General features: G+C 37.2%; 1 protein-coding gene across 12 annotated transcripts in view; it reads right to left on the bottom strand.

Moving 5' to 3' along the window:
- GPC5 (glypican 5) overlaps positions 1-12090 on the bottom strand; it is a 1468617-nt gene that overhangs the window by 1115589 nt on the left and 340938 nt on the right. The window lies entirely within an intron of this gene.

The raw sequence follows: 12090 nt of genomic DNA, 5'->3' as shown, positions 1-12090 counted from the left end.
GGTCATCGGACTTGTTTGGGGTTTGAAAAAATGTAGGCAGAATTTATGTATGCTCCTTCTAGGCTGAAGCTTTAAGAACTAATGAGGTTTTGCCAGCTTCTGTTTCCCTCTAGCACGATGACTGGCAATGTTTCAGAGGAAGGCTGCCCTGTCATTCTGAGTCCTAAAGCCCAGGCAAGTTAAGCAGTAATGGCTGCTGATCTGAAATGGCACAGGTTCTAAACAGAAACACAATGTTATTGTTCTCAACCAATGGTATGTTGGGGTAGTTTGCTATCACATCATAACTTAGTCTCTCACGGTTGCTACAATGATAGGAAAAGAAAACTAATAATTCATTAATCAGAAATTCTGCAAAAGAGAGAAGGAAAGGCTACTGAAAACAGTGGTTAGCTTTGAATTTTCTGAGGCTAAAATAAGGGAAGAAAGTCTGTGTTATTATTAAGATGGGTTTTGGTTTGTAAAGACAGAAATTTGGGGGGAGATCCTACTTTGGAACACTATATTCTGTGTTTGGCAGGGTTTAGGTGGCAGGAATCATGAGAAGTGTTGCAAAATGCAGTTGCACTGATAAATAGTAGAACCAGGGATCTACGGTAGGTATATTAAACAAAAATAATTGAGATGGTGGTAAAGGAGGGGATTGAAACACTAGTAGGCATAGTGAACTGGTCAAAAAGACTTACCGGCCAGGCGCAATGGCTCACACCTGTAATCCCAGCACTTTGGGAGGCCAATGTGGGCGAATCACCTGAGGTCAGGAGTTTGAGACCAGCCTGACCAACATGGAGAAACCCCGTCTTTACAAAAAATACAAAATTAGCCGGGCATGGTGGCGCAGGCCTGTAATCCCAGCTACTCGGGAGGCTGAGGCCGGGAGGCAGAGGTTGTGGTGAGCCAAGATGGCGCCATTGCACTCCAGCCTGGGCAGCAAGAGCGAAACTCCATCTCAAAAAAAAAAAAAAAAAAAAAAAGGACTTACCTACTACCACAGAGCAAATTAATGTTGGCCCTATTATCAGAATTCAAATCTCAGTTGCCAGCTCAATGCTCAAGCTAGCACACGACTACTTTTCCAGTTTTACGTGAAATATTTCAATGAACAAAATATTATATTCTTAGAAAGATTCTAAATTTAAGTTGCTGGGAGAGTGACTGCATCCATGCAATTATTTCTCTACTGTTATGAGAATATTTGCCGTTAAAATTAGGATCATAATAAATGCAGGGAGATGTTAACAGTCCAGTCCCATCTAATTATCCTTCAGGGACTGTGTTTCATATGTCAGTTGCTCATCTTGTGCTTCATCTATCTCTAGTACACAGAAATGAAATATAATTATTAAGAGTAACAGTTTGACCATATTTAAAAGAAAATAGAAAAATGTTGCTCATCTGAATATTTATTCAAAGCCTCTATGTCTGGACCAATAAAAATGGATAATTTGTCATCTGGGCTTGTAACAGTGTAGCATTTGTTCCCTGTGCCTCCATTTTCCAAGTTGAATGCAGAATCAACATTAGAAATGAGCCATACAGGCCAGGCATGGTGGGTCACGCCTGCAATCCCAGCACTTTGGGAGACCGAGGCAGACGGAATCAATTGAGGTCAGGAGTTTGAGATCAGCCTGGCCAACATGGCTAAACCCCGTTTCTACTAAAAATACAAAAATTAGCCGGGCTTGGTGGTGCATGCCTGTGATCCCAGCTACTTGGGAGGCTGAGGAGGAGAATTGCTTGAACCCAGGAGGCAGAGGTTGTAGTGAGCTGAGACTGTGCCACTGCACTCCAGCCTGGGCTATAGAGCAGCGAGACTCTGTCTCCAAAAAATACCACTTCCCTACTTTTAAAATACTAACCCATTTATATAAAATGTCTTTATTAAAAAGTCAAAAAATAACAGATGCAGGCAAAGATGTGGAGAAAAGGGAACACTTATACACTGTTGGTAGAAATATAAATCAACTTCTATGGAAAATGGTATGGAGATTTCTGAAAGAACTAAAAATAGAACTACCATTTGATCCAGCAATCCCACTATTGGGTATTTCCCAAAGGAAATCCCACTTGGTATTTGGAAATTCCACTATCCCAGCAATTCCACTATTTGGTATTTACCCAAAGGAAAATAAATCATTATATCAAAAGATACCTGTAGTCGTATGTTTATCGCAGCACTATTCACAGAAACAAAGACATGGAATCAACCTAATTGTCCATCAATAGGAGACTGGATAAAATGTGGTCTATATTATACACAATGGAATACTACTCAGCCATAAAAATGAATCAAATCATGTCTTTTACAGCAACATTGATGGAAGTGGAGGACATTATGTTAAGTGAAATTAATCAGAAACAAAGTCAAATATCACATGTTCTCACTTATAAGTGGGAGCTAAACAATGGGTACTCATGGACTTAGAGAGTGGAATAATAGACACTGGAGACTCAGGAAGGTGGGAGGTGGAAGTGGGGTGAGGTATGCAAAATGGGTACAATGTACACTATTTGGATGATGGTTACACTAAAAGCCCAGACTTCACTACTACACAACATATCCATGTAATACAACTGCACTTTTGCCCACTATATCTATAAAAAATTAAAAAAATAAGAAACAATAAAATGTCTTGCCATGGCGTAAGAGCGCTCGACTCTTTCCCCTAAACCTCATTCCATGACAGTCCCCCTTCTCTCTATTCACACACACCAGCCAAAGCCCACACACCTATACACGCATTGCATAAAACAACTCAATATTTACTGAACAAGATTCCAGGCTTAGAACATCCAGTTTCCTCCACCCAGAATTGTCTTCTCCTCCTACTTTACTCTCAACTTTCTACCCATCCTTCAAGATCCTGCTTAAACCTCACATCCTCTCCAACTCCTTCCCTAATCAACTGGTATAGCAACTGGTTCATCCTCATTTCTCATCTAGCCCCTGCCTATGGTTGTATTATAGCCCTTGCTCTCTAGTATTATAATCCCCCTGTATGCCAATCTACCTTCCCAATTAATGAATGTGCTTCCTAAAGACAAAAGCCAAGTCTTCCTCATGTCTCCAGGATTTGGACCACAGCTTGGTACCCAACAGGCACTTAACAAATTCTTTTTGAATTAGCCCCAGACTAGTTTTTAACAACTTCTAGAATTAGAAGCTCCTACAAGGAATATGTGTTACACAATGATAGTGATAATTTAAAGTTCTTTAAGTGCACAGGTGGCTTGGGAAACTTTAAATTAGGGGACCTATTCCTAGATTCTGGCAAAATATCAGAGAGACCTTTCTGGTGTGTTGCATTAAAAAATAGAAGGAATCTCTAAGGTAGGACAACAACTGAGCCAGACTCTACTAAAGAGGCTCAAGACAGCTCCTATTTATATGTAATGTTAAAATTAATATGTAGTGACACATTAATATTTAGTTGCACTGCTGTGTAAGATAGCTATCATAATTAATACATCACAGATATGCTGCGTTATGAAGACAGAGATAGAAAGAGCCTTAGAGATCATCTGTTCAAACAGCTCCTGTCCTATCTATACATTGTCATCACCAAGGAAACATTTTAAACTGTACACCTGGAGTTCTCCCTCAAACAATCAGATTTATTGGTCCGGGATGAGAACTGAGCATTTGGGTTTTCTGCAAGCTTCCTGAAGGATCCTAATGTGCAACCATGTTTGAGAACCAGTGACTTAGTCCAACCCTCTTATAAATAACAAAAGTGGAAATGAGAGAAATAAAAAGACTCATGAGAAGTCACTAAATTATCAGTTAGTTAGGCATTTAGTTGATACAGACTTCAACATCTTGTTTAATTAATTAACTGAAAATCTCATTGCTTAGCAATAACTGGCTGCCAGTGGATATTTGATTAATCAAAGTTGAATAAATCTTTAGATAGAAGAGTATTTCCACCTGTTTCCAAACATTTATGGAAATTATCACATTCTAAAAACACACTCATTAGTAGATTGTTAGATTAGAAAAAAAAAAACCAGATACATCGCTACAATGACAAAAAGCTACAATGAGAATGCAATATGTTCAGACAGGAGTTATCTACACGTTTTGACCAGTCTAAAATGTCTGGAGCAGGAAGCAGGCAGTGGGGTAAATTCTAATCACTGGCTAATGCCCAGCTTTGTACACTGTGCAACAGAGTAAAGTAGAAAAAGGCTGTAGCACAATTGCTCATTCATAGCCTGCAGCCTTGTTTGCCCTGAGCTTACTGAAGGCAGGGGAGAAACATGGACTAGCATAGTTATTGCTTCATTGCTTCCCATGCCCTTGAGGCCAACAGTGCCAGAAAGGTCTCCTGATACATCACGTGGTACAAAATATATATAAAGGGGAATGCAACCCACCCTGAAGTAGTTGTTTCTGAATCTGTTGACAAAGGAATGCCAGTTACTACTGTTAAATTGAGTAACACTTCCAACTGGCTATACTGTTATAATTGACTTTAATCATGTTTAATTATAAAAGTAATATATCTTTTAGTAAGGTGTAAAATAATAAAAAGGTGCATGACTAACCAGTTAATTTCTGTCCTTCCATAGTCTTTCCATCCCTCCCACCTGAAGTAACCAATATAACAGATTGGTGTTTATCTTATTCTTCAGCTTTTGCTATGTGCAAACTAACAAGCAGCTAAAGACAGACAAACAGACAGACCAACATAGAAAGATAGAGAAGGATATAGAGATGGTTTGGTTTCACAAAATCTGTACCAAGCTATACACATATATGAAATGGGATCTTTCTCACATGACAGTATATGATGAAGCCCTTTCAGGTTAATAAATAGAGTCTTATTTTTAATTAGCTGTATAATATTCCATAAACTGGATATAGCAACATTAGCATAGTCTATGAAAATATTTCATTAAGTAAATTTATATTTTAATTTATAAGGCTGACATATAGTTTCAAACTTTGTTCATCTTTTAGGAAGCTGTTTGCCTTAAGGCCTATGGCTCTAATCTACATTTGACCTTGCACTTCATTTAATTAGACCTTGCTAGAAACAAAACTATGTTCGAAAGGCATACCTCTCAATCCTATGTCCTCATCTCACAGGAACTTGTTTCATTTTAAACATTTATAAATTGTCATATATTGCACCCCTCTTTTTTTCCATTGAATACAACACAGAAGAGACTATTTCTAATTTTGACCAAAGCTAATTATCTAGAAAAGTATCCAAGAAGGATCTTATTTTCAAATGGAGATTTTCTTTCTGAAATGTCTCAGACTGCTTGTTTCTCTACTTAATGACATATATTGATTTTTTTTTACCCCTAAAGTCAGTCCACACATAATACAGAACCCAAATTAAAAGCAATGCCTAGCACACTGTTTGAAAATATCTGTAGAACAAAGGTCAAATGTGCAGTTTGCTAGTTAATGGCCTGAGGCAACGTGAAGGTTAATGTGGCACTAATGAGCAGGCTCAACCCTGTAGAGATGTCTGACCACAGCTGTCAAACAGTAGACGTTTAAAATGTCAGTCTCCTGCTCAGCAGAGGAAATATATAATTACAGGTTTCTAGATAAGAACTCTTTTCTCTTGCTGTTCTGAATCTATATTTAATCATTTAACGTTATTCTCACCTGTCATTCTATTTGACAAAATATTTAGAGAAGTCTTTAGAATACAAAAATTAGATTTTCATTCTAATAGAATAGAAAGAGCAAACACCACTCTCATTGCAAATGCTTGAAAGTAATTAAACTTGTATAGTCGGATGGAGAATGGAAGTCTCGTTTCTTGGCCCATTCTGGGAAGAGAGGGTGAACACATCACTGAGAAGCAATGCAATATATGGCACGTTTATCATAAATGAAAATGTGTTTCAAGCACATGACATTCATATTTGATTCAAAAGAAAAAAAATTTTTTTTCCAAAAGAGCAAGTTGTTAAGTCTGCTCTCTGAACCCCACCTGAACTCATTGCTCATTACAGAAACTGTGACGTAAAGATAGGCACCTTTCTCAAAGAGACAGATTTTTTTTTCCCCTAAGTCATTCCAGGTTTTCCCCTCCACATAGGAAGTCATCTCCCTCACATGACATGATTCCCCTTTATTAGAGGATTTACTGTGATTTCAAAACAAAACTAAAGGGTTGGTAGGTTGGGGAGCAACAGGGAAAGTAATAGGAAAGAGATGGAAAGGAGCTCAGAGAGTGGGCTCCTTAGAGACCCTTTGCAGAAAGTTCTTTTCAAACAGGTGTTTCATGTTTAGCACTCTCTTGTAATTTGATTCTAGCCTTGAGCTGGAAATTCATAGCCATCTATGCAATTAGGATAGATGCCTCTATTCCTCACTTTTCAAAGACCTTCCAAACCCAACACATTACCACTTAATGTCCCCATAAAAAAACACCCTTTCTGAAAGCATCCTCCTCTACAAAGAGTGATTTAAACCTGTTATCAAAACTGGGTTTTCAAAATTAGTTCTAACATCGTTTTCCCCTGTTGTAAAAATGTGCCTTAAAAAAACACTACCTCTGTTCTCCATTAAAAAGGACTTTAAACAAGGACTTCAACCCATTAATGAAAATAAACACTCGACCAAGTGTTCAAGATTTAAAACCAGTCAGATAATACTAGGGAAATTGGTCATCTATCACAAAAGAGATGTGATACAGTGTCTACCTCTTATAATTTTTTGGTCACTTTAATTAAAATATGCAATTAATTGTTCAGTCTACTAGTTTAAAGAAACATGGTACTAATTTTCCATTTTCAAATCTAATGATATTAATACATGCTCTTCACACAATCATTATTGAGTACCTGTTTGAGATTCAGTATTTTAGGTCAAATCTTGAATATTCCCCTCTTTGGCAATAAGATATTTTCTGTGGCTGCTAACATTTTAACAATAAACTTTGTGACTTACGGAACAAGCATATAATCTAGATATTATTAACCTCTCTCAGCATTAGCAGAACTTTAATAAAATACTTGCCCTTTAATAATCTGCCAATGAAAAGCCTTCTTTATTCTTCCTTCTTTTATCTTTTGCATTTTGCAATTACAATCAGATATTCCTGTTTACCTCCACCCACAAATTTATCTGACTAATGGCTGGTATATACTTAGTACAAATTGTTCATGCTTGCATTTTCAGATCCTCCATATCTTTCATTCCAAATACATGTGTCCCTGAACTCTGTTATAAAGATAGGCATTAGCACTAGGAAATCTATAAATAGCAATGCTCAGATAAAATAAGCTATTTTAGTCTTCAATTTTATTCCTATTACTCTGGTAATTTTCATTTTGAAAAATATTGCTGTGGAATGTTACATGTCACCTAGGTATCCTTTTATTCCCAGTTTTTCTGATGGGTGGCCTAGAATATTACTGACCAGGAATAATTAATGTATAGTTACCTTTACTTAATTATGCCATCCAAAATATGTTTATGTGATAAGGATTAAGGTTATGCATCCTTCCATTATGTTAATCCATATATGTGTTTGTTTATATAAGGCCTAACTTAAATTGGAAAATGTAGACAAACCCAATACATTGAAGACTATAAATCCTTTGGTTTTACTCAGTTTACAAGATCCCAAAGTTAGTGTTCCTTATATAACAAGAATCTTGCTGAAAGAGGGTGAAACCAGTAGATCAAAAAGAGAGCCTCAGACTCCTTGACTTCAAAAGTCATCAAACCAGAATGAATCACATTTCTGAGAAGGAAGCTTAATTTAAAAGTTGAGAGCTCTACAAATATGAGCCTAAACAAAAACAAAAAGAGATACCTTGAAACTTCCTTCATATTCTCATTTGCTGCACCAAGCAAAAGAAGCTACACATGATTCTACAGATCATGGTGGAGCTGTGTGCCCTGGAAATGGTTAATCTGATTTGTGTTTTGGACTGAAGATGAAAAAGGGAAAGGAAGTGTCTCTCTATCACATGTGTAACCTACTCTAGAGACACAATTTTTTCTACTAGTTCGAAGACAATTGTGGTGGATCTGGCAGCTTTGGCATTTCCATTCCATGCCATTGGATACAAATATGAGTATTCCTTGGTGCTTCCTGCTTCCCATTTTCCCCTATTATACATATGTATCCTTTCTACATTTTAAATGCCGTTGATAGATTTTAAATGTTGAAAAGGTTCTTTACCATGAAAAACAAAGTAGAAGATAATGCTTGATACTCTTGCTATAGATGCTATAGATGAAGGACCCATCCTGTTTCTAAATGCAATTAATTTGTAAGAGACAAACTTCAATTATCTTAAATTATGCCCCCACAGATTCTGCCAAAAATTCTGAAATAATTTTATACACTCCTATAAAATCATCAATTTCATCGTAATTTGAACTTGAATCCTCTTCACCTCTTCTAGAAGTTCAGTAAAAAAAATTGTAACAACAGGAGCTGAACTTGAGGTTCTTTCCAACTCTGTAGACCTTTACTGACTTTCCAAAGGAAAAGGGGTAGAAGATTCACTTGTTGGGAGAAAAGCAAAAAGAAAACATACTCTTAGATATATTAGATAAGGATAATTTATTCACAGTTTGGTTTTCTTGGTGGAAAAGATGTTTTCAGCCATATAAGTGAGATAGGCCCACGGTAATAATTACATACATTACTAAAAGCTTCTAGCTCTTCGGCAAAGCGCCTACATAGAAACAGAAGGTTTTTGGATGACCAGTTTGAAAACTGTCCAATTTCTAGCCATGTCTATGGCTATAAAATTATACTTATTATTCTTTCTGTAGTTAGAAATGTGGAGAGATTTATTTCCACACACACTAACCTAAGGTTGACAGCAAATATCATAATGCAACTTAAGGATGTAAGCATTATGAAACACCAATGGAGCCTGAAGAGTTTGAATAAATGTCATGCTCCCCGAATTAAGCCTATCCTCATCTAAGAAAGCAAACTAGGGGAGTTCCAATTGCAGCCACTGGATATGATAGTTGCATACGTTTTCTATAATTTCCAGTAATTGTTACCCTCAAAACAAAAAGTGGGCATCTGTTGAATACCAAACATATGGGCACGTAGCCACATCCAAGACCAACTGCAATGTCAACTTCTAGTTCGTGCCAAATAGTTGAACCTGCCTCTTCTTTCAGGACTAGTGTGCATAATATAATTTTCTACTATGTGGATTTCATTTAAGATGATTCATGAAATGGCCATTAATTTTTTCATGAACATCTAGAAAGTAAGAGCATTTTTAAAACATTTTCTGTTTTTAATATTAGTTTTAGGTGGAGCAAAGTACTTTTCAATGCAACAAAATTCTGCATGGATTTGTCTGTGAACTTTCTTTTTCTGGGAACATTCATGGGATTCTCAGTGGGATACATGATCCCCAAAGGTTAAGAACCACTAGCCTGAACTTTTGCCATATGTTTGCTCTGCCTTCTGGCATTTGCTTTTCCTGTGCGCCTGTAGTTTGACCCCCTGCAGGTCCTGATCTTCATTATTCATGTAGGTCTTGACTCTGGCCTGCCTTGTAGCTCATGAGCTCATGTTCCCTCCATACCTGCTCTGGCCTCCTATCCAAAGCTTTGTCTTGGCCTGCCCTGCTCTGGAAGCCCTCAGTACCACCACCTAACAAGCACTGTTTTACATTAAGCAGATTTTTTTTCATTGAAAACATGACCTTTATTTTCACAAGTTAAGTTTACAGGTAATAAATAATGATGGCACCTCAAAGACGCACTAACTTTCACTTACGAGGAAATAGATTGTAAACTGCTTTCTCTGCTACTATAAATGATATTAAATTTTTCTGAAAGAATCGACTATTTTTTCAGACCTATGAATATTTTCATCCACTGAATATTTGTATATACAATTCATCATTAAGTCCAGTATATCTCAATACTGATTTACCATCTAAACAAACATATATACTCAGTGTGTAATATCAAGAATTTTTAAATTTAACTTTGGATTCATTAATAAAGTGTTGTATTAGATAAGATTTGACTATGTAACTATAAGCTCTATGTTTTTTTATTATAAACTCTATGCATTTTAAACTAACTGATGCCATTTAATATGAATCTATCTACCTTAGCAATAATCTTAAATAACATTAAGTGTTCTTCACTGAATAAACATTTAAAATTTTTTCCCACGTTTAATTATTTTGAACACTTCCCTGTGTTTTTCTGTAATGTACAGGATATTAATTTACTTTAGTTGACAGTGACATTCTGAATGAGAATCATGCCCTGCCTCATTTCTTTCATTAAACTGCAATTTCAAGTGTCCTCTTTGCTTTCTGTTCTTAATAAATAAAACTGTTAATGTTCCAAGTGATAAAATTCTCACTCAAATCACGATTTAATAAATGCATTAGAATGAACTGGAAATGTCTAATGATATAATATTTCAATTAAGTTCTGAAGACAAAATTGAAAAAAACTCAAAATTTATATTTTGTTTCAAAAAAATCCAATATTTCTAAAAATTCTGCATTCCCCACCTTGACATCAAAATCCTGTCTGATAGTAAAAATATCTTATTTTTACTAAGCACCTAGGACACTCCCTATTATGCAAATACACACTCATGCATGCAGCCAATCCCCTTAATCATGCATTCTGAAATGAGAGGCCTGGCTAATTGGAATGCTTGCTGGAGAACAGATGGGGCACTGGTGTTGAGACTCCATCTTAATTTATTGTCCTGGGGTTTTCCTAATTACCTACTTAATTGGCACAGCCACACCACTTTGAAATAATAATGTACAGCTAATTATCACCGATTTAAGCTTGCTAATAGCTTATTCTTACCAGCTAACTTCAAGAAATCAAGCAGAGAGCAGGAACTGCCACAGGGAAATCACTCTGCCTGGCCTGCTTTAGACAACTATATGAGCGCAATGTCCTTTACAGCTGTGTTGATTTGGTCTCTGCTCAAAAAGGGAAAATTGTGATGCTTTGCTGGCTGTTTAAAGGAGCAGTAGCTCTTCCTTACTTTGCTCAACTTTGGAGACCTCCGTAACTGGTATGTATCAATCACTCAGGGTCTTTGATGTGCACATTATTAGCATGCTATATAAACAGAAATGGATTGGGGAAATTGAATCAGGACAATTACGTCTCCAAAATAAAAGAATCCAACTCTATGGTTTAGCTCCCCTCTCTCCAAGCTAAAAGAAGACTCACAATGTCCACAAAGGAGCTTAGCACAACTCTTATCCAGGAATAAGGAAATTTTCCTTCTTCAAATGTTAGAAGCAAAACAAGGAAAAAGCAATGTATTTAACAGAAGGGACCTCTGTGAAATGAATATAGAAAAACAGGGAGAAAAAAATGGTTAGGAACTTGGGAATATTAAGAGATTTCTCTATCCTAAGGAGAGGATACTGTAATCCTGCCTTCACTTACTCTCATTCTGCATTTATTTTAGGTACCTTTAAAAATTCAGGCATCTCTAGGTCAGATTCCCTAGAAGCAGTGCCTAAGACAGTAATCAGTATGCAGGCAACTCATCAGGGAGTGCTTTTAGGTAAAAGCGAGAAAGGGAAGCAAGGGCAGGTGTGGCGGAAGAAGCTAAGTGGGGATGTGGGCTCAGCTTCAGCCAGATACCACAAGAAGCACTGAAGCATGCATTTCACCAGGTTTGGTCCCACACCTTGAAGCAAGGGGCAAGCCTCTTCTATCCCTGTGTCAGTCAGTCATTGCCTGTAAGTTGCTGCCAAGAGCCTGAGGTAGGTGGCAGTCTAATCCCTTTCCACAGGTGGATGAGATGGATGAGAGCCAGTCTCCATGATAACTCCCCACAGTTTCATCCCTCATGCCTTTGCATAGTCCCCTTCTACAATGAAGAGGGATGACCTGTGTAACCTATGGAATATTGCAAAAACAATAGTATGTGATTTCTGAGTCCAGCTCATATAAGACGGCAGCCTCTGCCTTGCTCTCTCTTAGATTTCTTGTTCTGAGGGAAGTTAGCCGCAATGTGAAGACACTCAAGCAGTCCTATGGAGAGGTCACTGTGACAACAAACGGAGGCCTCCCACCAACAGCCATGTGAGCAAGCAATCTTGGGAGATGATACTCCAGCCCCACTTGAG

The sequence above is a fragment of the Homo sapiens genome, chromosome 13 (genome assembly GCF_000001405.40).
Source record: "Homo sapiens chromosome 13, GRCh38.p14 Primary Assembly".
Taxonomy (NCBI): domain Eukaryota; kingdom Metazoa; phylum Chordata; class Mammalia; order Primates; family Hominidae; genus Homo; species Homo sapiens.
Note: the sequence above shows the minus strand (reverse complement) of the source record. Positions and strands in the feature narration are given on the sequence as shown.